At 45.9% G+C, this 20800-nt stretch overlaps 1 protein-coding gene and 1 pseudogene across 12 annotated transcripts in view; both read left to right on the top strand.

Moving 5' to 3' along the window:
• YY1AP1 (YY1 associated protein 1) overlaps positions 1–8137 on the top strand; it is a 29555-nt gene extending 21418 nt beyond the window's left edge. For 9 of the 12 annotated variants that reach the window (NM_001198901.2, NM_139121.3, NM_139118.3 and 6 more), the window contains 2 exons: positions 6156–6272; positions 6666–8125. In NM_001198901.2, the coding sequence (NP_001185830.1) occupies positions 6156–6272; positions 6666–7922 (1374 nt within the window). In that variant the 3' untranslated portion in view covers positions 7923–8125. Of the gene's footprint in view, positions 1–6155; positions 6273–6645 lie in introns of all 12 variants that reach the window. The other 3 variants (NM_001198904.1, NM_001198903.1, NM_001198906.2) reach the window with 2 other exon arrangements.
• Positions 17311–18078, top strand: LOC100419799 (gon-4 like pseudogene; annotated as a pseudogene).

Raw genomic sequence — 20800 nt, 5'->3', positions numbered from 1 at the left:
GTGCTGGGATTACAAATGTGAGCCATTGCCCCCAGCCTTCTTTTTTATTTAGATATTTATTTATGTTTTTTTTTTTTTTTAGAGACAGGTTCTCACTCTGTCATCCTGGCTGGAGTGCATGGGCACAATCATAGGTCACTGCAACCTCAAATTCCTGGGTGATCCTTCCACTTCAGCCTTCCAAGTAGCTTGGACTACAGGTGCATGCCACCAAGGCTAGCCGATTATTTTATTTTGTGTGAAGACAGGGTGTCATTTTGTTTCCCAGGCTGGTCTTGAAGTCCTGACCTCAAGCAGTCCTCTTGCCTCAGCTCGGCCTCCCAGAGTGTTGGGATTACAGGCGTGAGCCATGATGCCCAGCCTTTGGTTTCATTGTGTTTTTGTATTTTTCTTGAGACAAGGTCTTACTCTCCTGCCTAGGCTGGAGTACAGTGGTATAGTCATAGCTCACTGCAGCCTTGAACTCCTAGGCTCAAGCATTCTTCCAACGTCAGCCTCCCAAGGAGCTGGGATTATATGCATTAGCCACTGTGCTTGGCCATTAAATTTATTTATTTATTTATTTTATTTTATTTTTTTGAGACAGAATCTGTCTCTGTCACCCAGGCTGGAGTGCAGTGGCACAATTTTAGCTCACTGCAACCTCCACCTACCGGGTTCAAGCAATTTTCATGCCTTAGCCTCCTAAGTAGCTGGGACTACAGGCATGCGCCACCACACCTGGCTAATTTTTATATTTTTAGTAGAAACATAATTTCACCATGTTGGTCAGTCTGATCTTGAACTCCTGATCTCAGGTGATCTGCCCACCTCGGCCTCCCAAAGTGCTGGAATTATAGGCGTGAGCCTCTGTGCCTGGCAAAAAACTTTTTTTTTTTAGGGATGGGGTGTCCCTATATTGCCCAGGCTGGTCTTCAATTTTTGGCCTTAGGCAATTCTCCTGTCTCAGCCTCTAATTGGTACTGCCTGGTGTATTGGATTTAGGCCTTACTTATTAACCATAAACCACGGAAGCCGAAGATTTACCTCTCTCCTCACTCCCTTACTCCCACCACAAACATGCACATTTTCTGCTCTCCAAACTCCTCACTAGTAGTTATGGTAGAATTTTGGTTAGATTGTATTCAGGGTTTACATTGTAAGATTTTAAGGACTGTTGGCTGGGCGCGGTGGCTCACGCCTGTAATCCCAGCACTTTGGGAGGCCAAGGCAGGTGGATAACGAGGTCAGGAAATCGAGACCATCCTGGCTAACATGGTGAAACCCCAGCTCTACTAAAAATACAAAAAACTGGCTGGGCGTGGTGGCGGGCGCCTGTAGTCCCAGCTACTCGGGAGGCTGAGGCAGGAGAATGGTGTGAACCCGGGAGGTGGAGCTTGCAGTGAGCCGAGATCGCGCCACTGCACTCCAGTCTTGCCAGAGCAAGACTCCGTCTCAAAAAAAAAAAATAGATTTTAAGGACTGTATAAATGCTCTTCACAGCTCAGCTATGTTACTGTGTTACCTTGCCTTTCCTGCTGAACATTTTGTTTCCCAGATCATCTTCTTTCAGTGTGTTCAGGTATTCTAGATATTCTGTCACTTTCATCTTGAAGAAATTGCTCCCTGAGCCCTCTGACATTATTCCACTTTAAGCGTGTTGCTCTCCATGTTGCTGCACTGATGTCTTCTTGGGCTTTTTCTTCACCATCATCCCAGGAATTCCTTTTGCCTCATACTGTGTTAGATCCTCTTATTTCCTGAATTCCACATCTTTGCTTTTGCATTACTTTTTTTTTTTTTTTTTTTTTTTTTGAGACACAGAGTCTTGCTCTGTCCCCCAGGCTGGATCTCGGCTCACTGCAACCTGCAACCTTGGTCTTGGTCTTGAACTCCTGACCTCAGGGGATCCACCCACCTCAGCCTCCCAGAGTGCGGGGATTACAGGCGTGAGACACCACGCCTGGCCTTGTTTTTTGTTTTGTTTTGCTTTTTTTTGAGACCGAGTCTCGCTTTGTTGCCCAGGCTGGAGTCCAAAGGCGCGATGATCTTGGCTCACTGCAACGTCCGCCTCCCGGGTTCAAGCAATTCTCCTGCCTCAGCCTCCCGAGTAGCTGGGATTATAGGCACATGCCACTACGCCTGGCTAATTTTTTGTATTTTTAGTAGAGACAGGGTTTCACCATGTTAGCCAGGATGGTTTTGATCTCCTGACCTCTTGATCCACCCGTTTCGGTCTCCCAAAGTGCTGGGATTACAGGCGTGAGTATTACTTCTTTACTTTAGTGGAACACATTCTAGTAGCTTTTTTTTAAAAAAAATTTTTTTCTGAATTTTAAAAAATTGAGGTGGGGGGGTCTCAGTTTTTTGCCCAGGCTGGTCTCAGACTCCTGGGTTCAAGTGATCCTCCTGCTTCAGCATCCCAAAGTGCTGAGATTATAGGCATGAGCCACCCTGCATGGCCCCATTCCAGTAGCATCCTGAGGGAGAGTGCTTGGGAAGGGAATTTTCACATTTAAACCATCTCCGGGGCCGGGCGCAGTGGCTCACGCCTGTAATCCCAGCACTTTGGGAGGCTGAGGCGGGTGGATCACGAGGTCGGGAAATCGAGACCATCCTGGCTAATGTGGTGAAACCCCGTCTCTACTAAAAGTACAAAAAAATTAGCCGGGTGTGGTGGCGGGCGTCTGTAGTCCCAGGTACTCTGGAGGCTGAGGCAGGAGAATGGCGTGAACCTGGGAGGTGGAGCTTGCAGTGAGCCGAGATCTCGCCACTACACTCCAGCCTGGGTGACAGAGCGAGACTCCGTATTAAAAAAAAAAAAAAAAAAATCTCCATTCATGGTCTTTTGATTGTATCGATGTCAGTTTCCTCGTTTTTGTTTTTGTTTTATTTTTTTTCTTTTTTTGAGACAGAGTCTCACTGTTGCTCACTGCAGCCTCTGCCTCCTGGGTTCAAGCGATTCTCCTGCCTCAGCCTCCTGAGTAGCTGGGATTAGCCACCACACCCAGCTAATTTTTGTATTTTTAGTAGAGATGGGGTTTTGCCATGTTGGCCAGGTGATCTCGAACCCCTGACCTCAAGTGATCTGCCCACCTTGGCCTCCCATAGTGCTGGGATTACAGGCATGAGCCACCACATCCTCCATGTCTGGCCAGTTTCCTGGTAGTAATATTGTACTGTGTACCTTGTTTATATGTATAGCTCTTGTTTCTATGTAACATAAAAACATTATATTGGGAGAAACTGGTTGAAGGGTACATGGGACCTCTTGGTACTATTTTTTGCAATTTCCTATGAATATAATTATTTCAAAATAAAAGGAAAAAATAATACTCTCCTCTGTCACTGTATCTAGAATTCTAGATAGGAAATAATTTTTTTAAGAAGCTTTTAAGGGCCTCACTTCATTTTCTTCTAACTCCTAGTGTGGTGTTAAGAAATTTCATGCCATTTAACTTTTTTTTTTTTTTTCCGAGACAGGGTCCCACCCTGTTGCCCAGTTTGGAGCGTGGCTAAATCATGGCTCACTGGTGTCTCCAACCCGGTGTGCACCACTATGCCCAGCTAATTTTTTTTTTTTTTTTTTTTAAGACATGGTCTCGTTATGTTGGCCAGGCTGGTCTCAAACTCCTGGCCTCAAGTGCTCGTCCTGTCTTGGCCTCCCAAAGTAATGGGATTATAGGCATGAGCCATGGCCCCATTTAACTCTTGAGTCTTTGTGTAACACCTGTTTTTCTCAACCTCTGACAGCATGCAGGATTTTTCCTTTGGCTTCAATATTTTGAAAATGCATGATAATATGCCTTAGTATTTGTCTATTTTTATCCATGGTTTTTTAAAAAGTACTTTCTTTTTGTTTTTGTTTGTTTGTTTGTTTTGAGACAGAGTCTCGCTCCATTGCCCAGGCTGGAGTGCAATGGCGTGATCTTGGCTCACTGGAACCTCTGCCTCCCAGGTTCAAGCAATTGTCCTGTTTCAGCGTCCCGAGGAGCTGGGACTACAGGCGCTCACCACCACACCCTGCTAATTTTTGTATTTTTAGTAGAGACGGGGTTTCACCTTGTTGGTCAGGCTGGTCTCAAACTCCTGACCTCGTGACCCACCCACCTCAGCCTCCCAGAGTGCTGGGATTACAGGTGTGGGCCACCATGCCTGGCGTATCCATGGTTTTAAGGCACACGTGATAAACCTTATTCTTCTGCAGAAATAATTTTTTTTTTTTTTTTTGAGATGGAGTCTCACTCTGTTGCCAGGCTGGAGTGCAGTGGCGTGATGTCGGCCCACTGCACTCTCCACCTCCTGGGTTCAAGTGATTCTCGTGCCTCAGCCTCCCGAGTAGCTGAGATTACAGGCACGCGCCACCACACTTAGCTAATTTTTGTATTTTTAGTAGAGATGGGGTTTCACCATGTTGGCCAGGATGGTCTTGATCTCCTGACCTTGTGATCTGCCTGCCTCGGCCTCCCAAAGTGCTGGGATTACAGGCATAAGCCACCACGCCTGGCCAGAAGTAATTTGTGTTTAAGTTTTAGTTTTGTGTCATTTTTCGTGCACACCTTTGTACTTTTGTTGGGGGATGGGGCGGGGTGTCGGGGTTGGAGTCTTGCTCTGTTGCCCAGGCTGGAGTGCAGTGGTGCAGTCTTGGCTCACTGCAACCTCTTAATTCCTCAGTTCAAGTGATTCTCCTGCCTCAGCCTGCCAAGTAGCTAGGATCACAGGCGTGCACCACCACACCCAGCTAATTTTTTTTTGTACTTTATTAGAGACAGGGTTTCGCCATGTTGGCCAGGCTGGTCATGAACTCCTGACCTCCAGTGATCCATCCTCCTCGTTCTCCCAAAGTGCTGGCATTACAGGCATGAGCCACCATGCCCAGCCCTTTGTACATTTTTTAATGTAGGATGCCATTTGTCCACTTGACTCTCCCACTAGTCTGTAAGCTCCATGAGAGCAGGAATTGCTTCCCTTATGTGTGTGCTTAGCTTTTAGCACAGTGCCTAGGATATAGAAAACATCTTATGTTCATCATGTTGGATGAACAGATGCTTATTGTCATGGTTTAAGTTCAGTTCTTATCTTCTTTTTTTTTTTTTGAGATGGAGTCTCACCCTGTTACCAACGCTGGAGTGCAGTGGCATGATCTTGGCTCACTGCAATCTCCACCCTACCACCCCCACTGCCAGGTTCAAGCGATTCTTTTGCCCCAGCCTCCCAAGTAACTGGGATTACAGGCACCCACCACCACACCCAGCTAATTTTTGTATTTTTAGTAGAGATGGAGTTTCACCATGTTGGCCAGGCTGGTCTCAAACTCTCAATCTCAAGTGATCTGCCCGCCTCAGCCTCACAAAGTGCTGGGTTTACAGATGTGAGCCACCAAGGCCAGCCTATTTACTCTTAAAACTGAACTGCCTCGGTCTTTTTTTTTTTCCTTCCCTTCTGATGCCCTTCACACCATCATTTGCTTAAAGTCTTTGATGTGTCCATTTTATAGATTACGATGCTGTCTTTGCAGCTGTTGAGCAGGAACAAATCTTACATAAGATTGCTCTTAGCATCTGCTTCCTTTTCTCTCTGTGACCTAAACTCTCCCCTTCCTGGCAACCAGAATGGAGATCATCAGTTAGAAAATATTGAATAGGGCTGGGCGCGGTGGCTGACGCCTGTAATCCTAGCACTTTGGGAGGCCGAGGCGGGTGGATCACGAGGTCAGGAGATCGAGACCATCCTGGCTAACACAGTGAAACCCTGTCTCTACTAAAAATACAAAAAAATCAGCCGGGTGTGGTGGCGGGCACCTGTAGTCCCAGCTACTCCGGAGGCTGAGGCAGGAGAATGGCGTGAACCTGGGAGGTGGAGCTTGCAGTGAGCGGAGATCGCGCCATTGCACTCCATCCTGGGCGACAGAGCAAGACTCCGTCTCAAAAAGAAAATACTGAATAACTATAAAATCTTTAAATAGAGATTAGTTTAATTTGAAATGTACAAGTATTCAGCATATGCTATTCGTATATGTGTGTTCATGGATGTTTGTGTATGTGGTCTTGTGTGTGTGTGTGTGTGTGTGTGTGTGTGTGTGTTTCTCTTGATCCACCACCACCCCATTCACCAGCCTGACAGAAGACAGTGTTTCCAGAAGGAATGTAATTCATGCGCATTTTTTTCATGTTAAGTTTTATAAGAAGACCAAACAGCTGCCAGTCCTAGGAAAATGCTGTGAAGAGATCCAGCCACATCAGTGGAAGCCACCTATAGAGAGAGAAGAACACCGGCTCCCATTCTGGTTAAAGGTACAGCCCTCTTCCTCGAAGTCTGTAGGAGGCAGAAGGTCACTGAAAGTTCTGAGAGAATATCAAGGACTTCCTTAATCGTCTAATGCTTTAGTTGTAGAACTAGGACTTCAGGAATCTTCCTGATTCACCTTTCTTCCCTTACTTTTCTGCCCTTCTCCGGGTGATTCTACAACATTTTCAAAATAATGGGTAAAATGGTAATTTGCTAAAGGAAATTCAGAGAAGAGTTTCTAAAGTGTATAATTGGACTGTGGTCTTTGTAGAAATTTCATATGCAGAGTCCCTTGGAAAGATGCCTTGAGCTTGTCTCAGGTCCCTAAACTTAGAAAGTCCTATTCTTTTTCCCAAATTCTGACATGTGCTGGATCAGAGTGTTCTCATTTCCAATAGGCCAGTCTGCCATCCATCCAGGAAGAACTGCGGCACATGGCTGATGGTGCTAGAGAGGTAGGAAATATGACTGGAACCACTGAGATCAACTCAGATCAAGGCCTAGAAAAAGACAACTCAGAGTTGGGGAGTGAAACTCGGTACCCACTGCTATTGCCTAAGGGTGTAGTCCTGAAACTGAAGCCAGTTGCCGACCGTTTCCCCAAGAAGGCTTGGAGACAGAAGCGTTCATCAGTCCTGAAACCCCTCCTTATCCAACCCAGCCCCTCTCTCCAGCCCAGCTTCAACCCTGGGAAAACACCAGCCCAATCAACTCATTCAGAAGCCCCTCCGAGCAAAATGGTGCTCCGGATTCCTCACCCAATACAGCCAGCCACTGTTTTACAGACAGTTCCAGGTGTCCCTCCACTGGGGGTCAGTGGAGGTGAGAGTTTTGAGTCTCCTGCAGCACTGCCTGCTATGCCCCCTGAGGCCAGGACAAGCTTCCCTCTGTCTGAGTCCCAGACTTTGCTCTCTTCTGCCCCTGTGCCCAAGGTAATGATGCCCTCCCCTGCCTCTTCCATGTTTCGAAAGCCATATGTGAGACGGAGACCCTCAAAAAGAAGGGGAGCCAGGGCCTTTCGCTGTATCAAACCTGCCCCTGTTATCCACCCTGCATCTGTTATCTTCACTGTTCCTGCTACCACTGTGAAGATTGTGAGCCTTGGCGGTGGCTGTAACATGATCCAGCCTGTCAATGCGGCTGTGGCCCAGAGTCCCCAGACTATTCCCATCGCCACCCTCTTGGTTAACCCTACTTCCTTCCCCTGTCCATTGAACCAGCCCCTTGTGGCCTCCTCTGTCTCACCCTTAATTGTTTCTGGCAATTCTGTGAATCTTCCTATACCATCCACCCCTGAAGATAAGGCCCACATGAATGTGGACATTGCTTGTGCTGTGGCTGATGGGGAAAATGCCTTTCAGGGCCTAGAACCCAAATTAGAGCCCCAGGAACTATCTCCTCTCTCTGCTACTGTTTTCCCCAAAGTGGAACATAGCCCAGGGCCTCCACCAGTCGATAAACAGTGCCAAGAAGGATTGTCAGAGAACAGTGCCTATCGCTGGACCGTTGTGAAAACAGAGGAGGGAAGGCAAGCTCTGGAGCCGCTCCCTCAGGGCATCCAGGAGTCTCTAAACAACTCTTCCCCTGGGGATTTAGAGGAAGTTGTCAAGATGGAACCTGAAGATGCTACAGAGGAAATCAGTGGATTTCTTTGAGCTAGGAGAATAAGAGTCTGGAGACTGGGAGCCTTCACTTCGGCCTCCGATTGGTGGCGCATAGGGTGTAACCAATAGGAAACCCCTAAAGGGTACTTAAACCCCAGATTTTGCAACTGGGGCTCTTGAGCAGCTTGCTTTAGCCTGCTCCCACTCTGTGGAATATACTTTTGCTTCAATAAATCTGTGCTTTTATTGCTTCATTGTTTCATTGATTTGTGCAATTTGTTCAGTTCTTCATTCAACATTCCAAGAACCTGGACAAATTGTAGTCAAGACCCTCCGACAGTAACATATTTTGGCAAGCCAGCCTGGAGGTAAGTCCAAATTGCGGTGCAGGGGAAGGGGGCGGTTATTTTTCTTTTCTTCTTTCCTTTTTCTTTCCCTGTCAAGCCTTCATTTTTCGGCATGGGCTGGAGCTATATCTCTGTGCAGGGCTCCACTCCATACAGGGGAACCTTTTCCTCTCTCTCTTTCCCTTTTCCAACTTGAGACTCAGCAGATAGCATGTGAACATGGAGGCAACTGCAGGTCTCTGGCCAGGGCCACTCTCCAGTGAGACTGAAGGGTATCCACGTGGAAGCACCTGATCACCATCACCCAGTTTGGGTGACAGACCTGAGTTCTCTTTTTTTGAGTCTTTCAGCTGCTGTTTTCTAACAGCTCTTTGGTAATTGAGGGCAACTGGACAGGGCCACTCTCCAGTGTTACCTGAAGGCCAAGGAATGAATCGGGATAGCTTCCCTGCCCGGAAGGGAGAAAGACTCTTTTATCTTTCCTGGTTATAGTCTCTGAGTTCTACACGTGACACCATTGGCAGTGGTAGCTCATTCAGGGCGAATTCACACTCAGGCCTCTTAAACCCTCCTTTCTTAGGCCAAATTCTCTTACAGAGTTAGCCAGTGAGGGCAAAAGATAGTATCTCCTAGATATTTTGACCCTTCTACTGGATCCATTTGGCTGGCTGATGACCTTTGGGACCCACAAGCTTTAGAATACATTCTACATCTTGGACCTCCACTGAGGGGACCTTGTTTCCTTTGTCTTCACCATATTATTTCAATAGAATGGCCTGCCCTTACACAGGACCCATTGCCATGGTGGTGGATTTTTAAACATTCCCTCTCTTGCCCAGGGCCAGAATGGAATAGCCAGCCCTATTTTATCTTTCATGCCTAAAATCAACCTTTTTCCCTGAAATTACCCATAATCCACATGACAAAAGAAACCTACCAGCCTCCTGTTCCTCTTATTAGGGTTCACAGCTATCACTCTAGTGGAACAGGAAGTGTGGGAAACCATGGCCTTACCAAATTATAAGGATGCTAGAGGCCAGGTGCTGTGGCCCACACCTGTAATCCCAGCACTTTGGGAGGCTGAGGCAGATAGATCACCTGAGGTCAGGAGTTCGAGACCTGCCTGGCCAACATGGTGAAACCCCGTCTCTACTAAAAATACAAAATGAGCCTGGCATGGTGATGCACACCTGCAACCCTAGCTATTTGGGAGGCTGAAATAGGAGAATTACTTGAACCCAGGAGGTGGAGGTTTCAGTGAGCCAAGATCATGTCCATTGCTCTCCAGCCTGGGCAACAAGAGTGAAACTCCATCTCCAAAAAAAAAAAAAAAAAAAAAAGATGCTAGAAGTCAAGGCCTTCATCTAGGAATAAAAGGAGTTAATAGTGGGTCACCAGTGGTGGAGAGAACCTTGCCAAAGTAGTGCTGGCACCCATCAAAGGTCACATGTCACACTAAGATGGGACCCTAAAGGGGGACACCCTTAGGGACCCCAAACAAGCAGCCAGGAACAATGGGCAGTCAATGGAATTCTTAATTATTAACACCATCTGCAATTAGACCTATTTTGCAAAATGCAGGGTAAATTGCCAGAAATCCCATATGTGCAGGTCTTCATGGGTGTATATCAAAACCCAACCATGTGCAAAACTCCAGGACCTGTCCCATAATCAAAGGTCCTAAGGCAGAACCAGATATTGTAGATGATCCTATTTTGACAAGGGTCACCTGTCTCGGGAAATGGCAACCTCTCCCGTATAGCCTGTTGCCAAGTGTTCCTGAGGCTCAAACCCAAGAGCAAAAACCAGGAACCCTGCCAAGTTCCCCTCACAGTGGAACACCTTATTCAACTCCCTTTCAGCCCTACCACTCCTGAGGGAAGTAGCAGGAGCCAAGGGGCCAGTTAGAGTGCAGGCCTGCTTCTCCATAACACAATGTAAAGAAAAGCTTGGAAGCTATTCTGAGAACCCCAGGAAATTTGCAGATGGGTTCCAAACTTTGACTTTAGCCTTTGGTTTCTCATGGAGGGATGTTCAATTAATTCTAGCAACGTGTTGTACCCCCTGGGAACGAATCTTTGAGGCCGCCTGCCAGGAAGTCCACGATTTATTTGCCTGAAGCCTTTAGGGCAATCACCAGGGCCCAGCCCCAGCCCCTACTACTGATCCTAATTGACACCCCTGCGGGAATGAACAACTGGGCCAAATTTCTTGAGGCTCTCCTTGGAGGAATGAAAAAGACAATATCTTAAGGTAGCAAATTATGATCAGGGAGGTTATACAAGGCAAGGAGGAAAATCCAGCCATGTTTTATGGTAGGCTGGGGAAAGGAAATATGCCAATCTGGACACTTCCTCTCCAGAAGGCAAAATATTAATGCAAGGAGGAAAATCCAGCCATCTTTTATGGTAGGCTGGGGAAAGGAAATATACCAATCTGGACGCTTCCTCTCCAGAGGCAAAATATTAATGGCACAGCATTTCATTAGCCAATCCGCTCCAGCCATTAGGCTCCAAAAGCTATAGATGATGCCACAGACTAATCAAAATCAACTTCTTGATACTGCCTTATGGTGTATAACAATCATGACCTGGAGGAAGGAAAAGGAATAAAGAAGAAGCAAGCCAAAATTACGATAGCCATCATTGGAGATGCCCTGAATGCCCAAAGAGTGCCCAAGGGAATCCCAATGGGCCATAAGGATAATGCCAGCAAAGGCTCTTGCTTCAAATGCAAGAAAAATGGGAATTGGGCAAAGGACTGTAGTAAGCCCCCACTGGGACCCTGTTGGCAGTACAAAGGCACCAGTCACAACCCCTGGTGCTGGAGAATTAACTGCCCCCTGTTACACAGAGGAGGTCAGTCAAAACTCTTAACAGTGCAAAAGGAGAAATTGATGAAAACTGATGGGGCCCAGGGCCTTCCTCACCACCCCTGCCCAGGAACATCATTCATTACTATTGAGGAGCCCTGGGTAACTCTGGACATGTTGGGCACCCAAATTTGGTTTCTTTTTGATACAGGGACAAATTACTTTGCCCTTACTACTTACGTAGGAAAAGCTTCCTCCCCATCCACAAGCGTTATGGGAATGGAAGGAGAGCCACAAAAAAGATTCTTTATTCCTCTTTTGACTTGCCAATTTGAGAAACAAATCTTCCAACAAGAATTTCTAGTAGTAACAAGCTGCCCAGTCCCCTTGTTGGGAGGGGATATTATAGTTAAAATAGGGACACTGCTACGATTTAGGCACCACCCAGCAAAATTGCTAATAGTAATGCAGACAATGTCCCAGACCACATTAATAAATAGGTCAACGCACTAGCATGGTATACTGGGAAACTGGGTAGGGCTAAAACAGAAATACACTTGGACAGTGCCCCTCCCTCAGGGCTTTCAGGATAACCATGTTTGTTTGTTTTTTGCACAAGCCTTGGGGATCTAAGGGATCTAAAATTGGAAAATGGAGTGTACTCTAGTATGTACATGACCTTCTTGTGTGTAGCCCAACCCAGGGGGTGACTAAAATACTATAAGAACCTTAAATTTCTCTGCAGATGGGATATAAAGTGTCCAAAAGGAAGGCTCAGATTGCCCACCAACGGGTTCAATATTTAAGGTGTATCTTAACACCCAGAGCCCAGCAAATATCCCCAGAATGAGTGCAAGCCGTATGTGGTTTGGAGCTCCTCCCACACCAAGCAACAGCTTCGTCGTTTTCTGGGGATGGCTGGGTTTTGCAGAAGATGGGTACCAAATTTTGGGCTCATAGCAAAACCCCTTTATGAAAGCAACAAGGGAGCCAGAAAATGAGCCAATTGAATGGACTTTGGAAATGAGAGAAGGCTTTATCAAGTTAAAACAGGCTCTCAGCCAGCCTCCCGCTCTTAGCATCCTAGACCTCACTAAGCCCTTGTATGTAGCAGAAGGGAAAGGCATAGCCATGGGAGTGCCAACTGCCTACTTCTCAAAGAAATTGGACACGGTGGCCAAGCTGCTTGCCGTCGATGGCAGACACTGCTATTTTAGTGGAAGAAGCCGCTAAAATCACCCTGGGTCAGCCACTGGAAGTATTAACCCCACATCAAGTCAATCCTAGAAATAAAAGGACACAACTGTATGATGGGGGAAAGGTTAACCAAATACCAGGCTATGCTCCTGGAAAATCTAGATGTGACCCTTAAAACCTGTAACACTGTGAATCCAGCTTGATTGCTGCCCACAGGCCCAATAATTAATCATTCCTGCGAGCAAGTTATTGCACATACATATGTTAGCCAGCCTGATTTAAAAGGTTGACCTCTCCCAGATTCAGAGGATGACTGGTTCACAGACCTCAGCAGCTTTATATCAAACGGGAACACTGGGCCAGATATACAACAGTAAATTACAATACAATTATTGAGGTCCAACCCCTGCCCCCAGGTATGTCAGCACAAAAAGCTGAGATCATTGCTCTTACTCGAGTTCTGACATTAGGAAAAGGGAAAAAGCTTAACATCTATACAGATTCCAAACATGCATTTCTCGTGTTTCATGCTCATGCTGCAATTTGAAAAGAAAGAGAAAGAGGACTACTAACTAGTAAATCTTCCACCATAAAGCATGGGTCTGAAATTCTTCAACTGTTGGAAGCAATACACTTGCCAAAAGCATAGCCATAATTCATTGTAGGGGGCATCAAAAGAACCTAACCCCTGTAACACAAGGGCACAGAAAGGCTGATAAGCCAAAGCCGCACTGCTCAGGGTGTAATCCCGACAAATTCTAGCACTGCTTCCTTTCTATGATTCCCCAATAGAACCTGAATATCCCTGTGATGTATTCAGGGATATTCGAAGTAAAGGAGGAAGATGGACACAAACAAGGATCCTGGTGGTATATAGTATCAAAAGTGTATCTCCCTCAAACAGCCCAATGGAGAATTATAAAAATCCTGCATGACTCTTTCCATATGTGAGGAGATGCCACTCTTGCCATGATAAACAGGCTCTTCATTGGGCCTGACTTAACTTCCGTGGTTAAGCAGGTCTGTCAAACCTGTTCACTGTGAGCATTCAACAACCCCAGGAACAAAATGCCTCCTCTAATAGAACCAGTCCGGAGAAGGGGCACTTCCCCAGGGGAAGACTGGCAATTGGATTTTACCCATATGCCAGCTTGTAGGGGATACAAGTTTTTGCTAGTACTAATAGACACATTTACTGGCTTACCCTAGCAGAACAAAGAAGGCTAATGAAGTTATAAAAGTTCTCCTAAGATAAATAATCCCCAGTTTGGGTTACCCCAAAGCCTCCAAGGTGAGAGCAGTATGTCTTTCGTCTCCCAAATAACTAAAAGGGTTGCTAAGGCTCTCAGAATCTAATACTATTTACATTCAGCATGGAGACCTCAATCCTCTGGGAAAGTAGAAAGGGCTAATCAACCTCTAAAATCGGCATTAGCTAAGCTATGTCAGGAAACTTCAGAAACTTGGGTCAGCTTGCTGCCCATAGTCCTTTTAAGGATCCATAATTCCCCTAGAGCAAAAATTAATATGAGCCCATTTAAAATGTTATACAGAAGTCTTTTTTTTTTTTTTTGAGACAGAGTCTCACTCTGTTGTCCAGACTGGAGTGCAGTGGCACAGTCTTGGCTTACTGCAACCTCCACCTCCCAGGTTCAAGTAATTCTCCTGCCTCAGCCTCCCAAGTAGCTGGCATTACAGGTGTGAGCCACCACACCCCGCTAATTTTTGTATTTTTAGTATAGATGGGGTTTCACTATGTTGGCCAGGCTGGTCTTGAACTCATGACCTCAAGTGATCCACCCACCTTGGCCTCCCAAAGTGCTGGGATTATAAGAATGAGCCACTGCACCTGGCTGGGAAGGCCATTTTTAATGGATGATCTAATTACTGATCCAGAAATAGCCAGTTTAGTAAAATACGTAATTAACCGGAGACAATTTCAGCAGGCATTTCAAAAGTTTGGAACTCAAAGGTTCTCTGCATTGGGAACTAACCAGCAACCCAAGATCAGGCCAGGAGAGAAAAGTATTTGTTAAAACACAGAAAGAGGGGTCACCTGCTCAACAACTCCAACCCAAATGGAAGGGACTTTTTCAGTGGTGTTGGCCACGCCTTCTGTAGTCAAAGTACCAGGATTAGAAGTTGGATACGTCTTTCTAGGGTCAAGCCTGCAATACCTGAAGCCCCAGACCTGTAACTTGAAGCTTCCGTCAGCCACTATACCTGTGAACCTGTGGAAGACCTGAAGTACCTGTTTTAAAGACAGTCAAAAGATAAGTGAATGCCTACCAACTCTCCTTGGTGTCTATGCTGCATAGTTACTGTAGGTTTGATAATAGTAGCAGTTTTTATATTTTTATAATTTATTGCCTTCTTCCAAATGGATGGAATCATTTCCTTTGTAATAATTAAGCAAAATGTTTTACTTCATTTTTGTAACATTATTCCTGAGAGGATAGGTATACACCCCCTGAAGTTCCCATTCAAAAGAACAAAATAACAGATAAGTATTTTTAGTCCCATAATGGTTAGCCCTGGCCTGTGTATACTGGGACCAGGCATACTGGGAATCAGCTTAATTTTACAGCAGGGTTTTATTTTACTTCTCTGGCAATTAATGGATTCTGGGTATTTATTAAGACTTTAAAATTTAACCCAAAGACTGTTAAATACCACCAGTCCAGCTCTGGCAAAGGACTGTTGGCTTTGTTCATCTCCAACATCACCAAAACACACTGCCATCGCAACCCAGGCTTATCTTGGGCCCTTGAAAAAATGTCCTACCACCTCAACTACAAGGGAGGGACTCCCTTCAAATTAATGGATCTGCATGACTTCTATGACTTCAAAATTACATAAACAACAAAAGTTACAATGTCAGGATGAGCAGTAAACCTTCTCCAGTCCTACCAAAGTAACATTTCTGGGGTTGCATCTCCTCAAAAACCTATTTGGGGCCCAAGAACGCACAAAGAACTAAAATCCCAGGTGCCACTTTGTATTAAAAAATTCTAGTCAAACCCTGGGAACCTTGAGTCATCAGAGTAACTACACCCTAGGGATTAACCTCTCACATGATATGTAAGCTATGCAGTTACCTAGGCTGCATCATTTAGAAAACCTGTATGGTTTGCATGAAACTATTCCTAATTAAGGGCACTTTAAAGGACACACAGTCTAAGTACTGTCAAGGTAGGACCACTAGCTGTGTTCACATTTTCACTTGGGAAGACTGTAGTAATCCTAAGACAGCTAGTTGCCTTTTGGTTCTCCAGTATGAAAATACCTCTGGGTGGTTGCTGGTGGACACTAAGCATAACTACCTTCACCAGGAAAACTTAACTGCTAGGACAACTGAGGATACTTCCCAAGGTCCTTTCCAGCCTTTAACTGGAGCCACCTTAGCAGGGACCTTAACCACTGGGGAAAGAAAAACAAAAAGCTAACCCATATGTTCACCATAGAGAATGATTTTTATCTTGAAAAACACGGAGTCTTTTTCCTGTGTGGAACTAGTTCCTAGTTATGTTTACCAATCAAATGGACTGAAACCTCTACACTTCTTTATTTAGCCCCTGAAATCTGTATAGCTCTCAATAACCAGTCTCTCATACCTTTAACTGCACCCGCCAGGCACAAATGAACCATCAAACTCATACTCCTTTTGGTAGGACTAGGAATAACCGCAGAAGTAGGAACAGGAGTTAGCAGGCTTGCAACATTCCTATCCTATTACCAACGTTTGTCCAAGGATCTTTCAGAGAGCTTGGAAGACATTGCCCAAAGTATTGTCACCTTACAAAATCAGATAGACTCCTTGGCAACGGTCGTTTTACAAAATAATAGGAGACTGGATTTCCTAGCTGCTGAAAAAGGTGGCATATGTCTTTTCCTAAAAGAAGAATGCTGGGGTTTTTTGTTGTTGTTGTTTTGTTTTGTTTTGAGATGGAGTCTCACTCTGTCATCCAGGCTGGAGTGCAGTGGCGCGATCTCGGCTCACTGCAAGCTCCTCCTCCCGGATTTATGCCATTCTCCCGCCTCAGCCTCCCAAGTAGCTGGGACTACAGACGCCTGGCACCACGCCCGGCTAATTTTTTTTTTTTTTTTTTTTTTTTCAGTAGAGACAGGGTTTCACCGTGTTAGCCAGGATGGTCTCCAGCTCCTGACCTCTTGATCCGCCCGCCTCAGCCTCCCAAAGTGCTGGGATTACAGGCGTGAGCCACCGCGCCCCACCGAAGAATGCTGTTTTTATGTCAACCAATCAGGATTAGCAAGAGATGCCGCCTGAAAATTAGCTGATGGGGCCTCTAAAATATAACAACAGCTGTCCGAGTCATGGGGCTTCTGGTCAAGGGCACTAAGTTGGGCTTCATGTCTACTTCCCTTAGCTGGCACATTATTAACAATTATGCTCGCATTGACCATGTTGGACCATGTTTGTTAAATCTTTTAACCAAATGTATTTTTTCTCACCTAGAGGCCATTAAGCTTCAAATGATCATGCAGCAGGGCTTCTATCCAGGGAATGATGCCAGCCCCGGCCAACAAGAAGTCATCCTGTCTCCACTAGACAGAGCAGGGTGAGAGTTCCATGGTCCCCAAGTAGATAGGGACAGTGCCCCAAACAGCATGAAGCAGTTACAGAAGAAAGACTGTCAGTCCCTCTACCTCCTGTAAATATTTGATATTAAGTCTCTCAAGGGGGAATGAGGCAGGAGAATAGGATCTGGAGACAGGGAGCCTTCACTTTAGCCTCTGATTGGTCGCAGGCGAAATCTTCATTTGCATAGGGTGTAATTTCACTTCAGCCTCCAATTGGTCATGGGCTACGTCTTCATTTACAAAGGGTGTAACCAATAGGAAACCTCTAAAGGGTACTCAAACCCAAGAAGATTTTGCAACTGGGGTGCTTGAGCCTCTTGCCCAAGCCTGCTTCTGCTCTGTGGAATGTACTTTCACTTCAATAAATCTGTGCTTTCGTTGCTTCATTCATTTGTTGCTTTGCTTGTGCATTTTGTTCCATTCTCTGTTCAATACGCCAAGAACCTGGACAACTTGTAGTCAAGACCGTCCACTGGTAACACCCTGAGCACGGTATTTGTGATGACATCAAGGAAGAACACACTGTGGAATTAGACACTGGCTCCCCAAGTGAGGAGTTGAGCAGTGCTAGAGAGGTAAAGAAACAGACAATCTTACAGAAGGAAGAAGAGAGGATTCAGCCAACTAAAACCCCTTCATCTTCTCAAGAACCCCCAATGAAGGAAACTTGGGGGGAGATGAGGGCAAAGGATCACCAAATAATGCTTCATCCTCCATGAATCCTGAAGTGAGGCTTAGTAGCCCCCAGGGAAGCCCAAAGACTCATCCAGTGTTGATGGTCAGTCAGTGGGGACCCCAGTTGGACCAGAAACTGGAGGAGAGAAAGATAGGCCAGAAAAAGAGGAAGAAGATGACTTTGATGACCTCACCCAAAATGAGGAAGATGAAATGTCATCAGCTTCTGAGGAATCTGTGCTTTCTGTCCCAGAACTCCAGGTGAGAGCTAGAGAATACTCTCAAGTATTTTGTGGACTCAGTAATATGTTTAACTTATTGATATGCCACCTGCTTGCTTGCTGCACTATGGATAGTCCTAAAATCATTTGTATTTGATTTGTGAATGCATTATGGGACATGATTGTGGAGTTGAGGTGAAATGAGATGGAAAGGATGAAATTTTACTTATTATATTAAACTCGTTTACACATTAAATTGAATCACCTGACCATACTTTAAATGCCTTAAAAAATAGTATATAGGGCCAGGTGCGGTGGCTCATGCCTGTAATCTCAGGCATGGGAGGCCGAGGCAGGCAGATCACCTGAGGTTGGGAGTTCGAGACCAGCCTGACCAACAAGGAGAAATCCTGTCTCTACCAAAAATACAAAATTAGCCGAGCATAGTGGTGCATGCCTGTAATCCCAGCTACTCGGGAGGCTGAGGCAGGAGAATTGCTTGAACCTGGGAGGTGGAGGTTGCAGTGAGCCAAGATCACGCCATTGCACTCCAGCCTGGGCAACAAGAGCAAAACTCCATCTCAAAAAAAAAAAAAAAATAGTAAATAGTCCAGGCTTGGTCGCTCACACCTGTAGTTCCAGCACTTTAGAAGGCCGAGGTGGGCGGATCACAAAACGAGGTCAGGAGTTTGAGACCAGCCTGGCCAACATGGTGAAACCCTGACTCTACTAAAAATACAAAAATTAGCCCGGCGTGGTAGCATGCTCCTATAATTTCAGCCATTCAGGGGGCTGAGGCATGAAAATCCCTCGAACCCAGGAGGTGGAGTTTGCAGTGAGCCAAGATTGTGCCGCTGCACTCCAGCTTGGGTGATGGAGTGAGACGCTGTTGCAAGACAAAAAAAAAAAAAAAAAAAAAAAAAAAAAGGAAGAGGCACATAAATATGGGCTAAGGCAAAGGAAAACTAATTTCAGGGTAAAGAAGAAGTTTTCAAAAGGCATCTTTTCCACTTTCCTGCTGTCAGGCCCAATGTCAGCTATCACTGGGATTTCATAACTCAGGGAATTCCGCTCTGACAGCTGTAGTGGGTTCCCCATTGTTTAACTTCAGATTATCCTGATACAGCTCTGTGCTGTTCTGCAATTCATGAGCCACTAGGAGCCGTAAGTACTCTTTGGAGGGTTTTACAGGAAACAATGGAGAAACTGACTTGGCTGGCATCTGAAAAGGCGCATGAGTCAGGAGGGTGAGTCTGAAGAAGAGAATTCTCAGGAGGAGAACTCTGAGCCGGAAGAAGAGGAAGAAGAAGAAGCAGAAGGAATGGAAAGCCTGGAGAAAGAGGATGAAATGACGGATGAAGCAGTTGGAGACTCTGCTGAGAAGCCTCCTTCTACTTTTGCCTCACCTGAGACTGCTCCAGAAGTGGAGACCAGCAGAACTCCACCAGGTGAGCTAGGCAAACCTATACTGAAGGACCATTCTCACTTAACCTCATTGTCTAGAGAACAGTGTGCAGGGTGGGTAGCTTATAAACCAGGTGGAGGATTTCCAGAGGAAAACTTCTGGATTTCTTCTGCAACCCCACTCCCCCAAAACACATTTAATGTGGTATCTTTGTGGAGAACAGATACGCAGATATTTTGAAATGGAGTTTTTGCTCTTTTTTTTTTTTTTTTTTTTTTGAGATGGAGTCTCGCTCTGTCGCCCAGGCTGGAGTGCAGTGGTGCGATCTCGGCTCACTGCAAGCTCCGCCTCCTGGGTTCACGTCATTCTCCTGCCTCAGCCTCTCCGAGTAGCTGGGACTACAGGCGCCCGCCACCACGCCCAGCTAATTTTTTTGTATTTTTAGTAAAGACGGGGTTTCACCGTGGTCTCAATCTCCTGACCTCATGATCCGCCCGCCTCGGCCTCCCAAAGTGCTGGGATTACAAGCGTGAGCCACCGCGCCTGGCCAGAGTTTTTGCTCTTGTTGCCCAGACTAGTGTGCAGTGTCATCGCAATCTCACCTCAATGCAACCTCCACCTCCAGGGTTCAAGCAATTCTCCTGCGTCAGCCTCCTGAGAAGCTGGGATTACAGGCACACGCCACCACGCCCGGCTAAATTTTTTTTTGTATTTTTAGTAGAGACGAGGTTTCATCATGTTGGCTAGGCTGGTCTCGAACTCCTGACGTCAGGTGATCCAACCATCTCGGCCTCCCAAAGTGCTGGGATTACAGGTGTGAACCACAGCTGCTGGCCTACTCAAAAAATTTTTAAATTGATTCTCATCCATTGCTAGATTTGTATTAGCTTCGTTCACTTTTATTTATTTATTTATTTATTTAATTTATTTATTTTTTGAGACAGAGTCTTGCTCTGTCACCCAGGCTGGAGTGCAATGGCACGATCTCGGCTCACTGCAACCTCCATCTCCCGGACTTAAGCAATTCTCCTGCCTCAGCCTCCCGAGTAGCTGGGATTACAGGAGCCCGCCACCACGCTCAGTTAATTTTTGTTTTGTTTTGTTTTGAGACGGAGTTTCACTCTCGTTGCCCAGGCTGGAGTGCAGTGGCACAATCTTGGCTCTCTGCAACCTCCACCTCCCAGCTTCAATAGATTCTCCTGCCTCAGCCTCCTGAGTAGCTGGGATTACAGGTGAGAGCTACCACGCCCGGCTAATTTTTGTATTTCTTTAGTAGAGACGGGGTTTCACCTTGTTGGCCAGGCTGGTCTCAAACTACTGACCTCAGATAATCTGTCCCCCTCGGCCTCCCAAAGTGCTGGGATTACAGGCATGAGCCACTGCACCCAGCCTCATTCACTTTCTTGTACTGGTTCTTAGCTCACCTGTCATGTGTGGGGCTAAGACCTATGTTTATTTCAGAAAACACTGCTTGTTCCTCATCAAGACATAGTATCTCAAAAGTGCTACAGAAGCCACACTTGCTCTTTAGACTTCCTTTCTCAATATGAAGTAGCTGATTATCTTGTTGTCATCCCAATTAAGGCAGTTACACTGCAGACTCTGCGTAGAGCTGACTTGACGGACTTAGTTTTCATACCATTTTCCCAATAACTTTTTCCTTGAATTGC

Source organism: Homo sapiens, chromosome 1 (genome assembly GCF_000001405.40).
Source record: "Homo sapiens chromosome 1, GRCh38.p14 Primary Assembly".
In the NCBI taxonomy this organism is placed as follows: domain Eukaryota; kingdom Metazoa; phylum Chordata; class Mammalia; order Primates; family Hominidae; genus Homo; species Homo sapiens.
The sequence above is the reverse complement of the archived record's forward strand: the minus strand, read 5'-3'. Positions and strand labels throughout refer to the sequence as shown.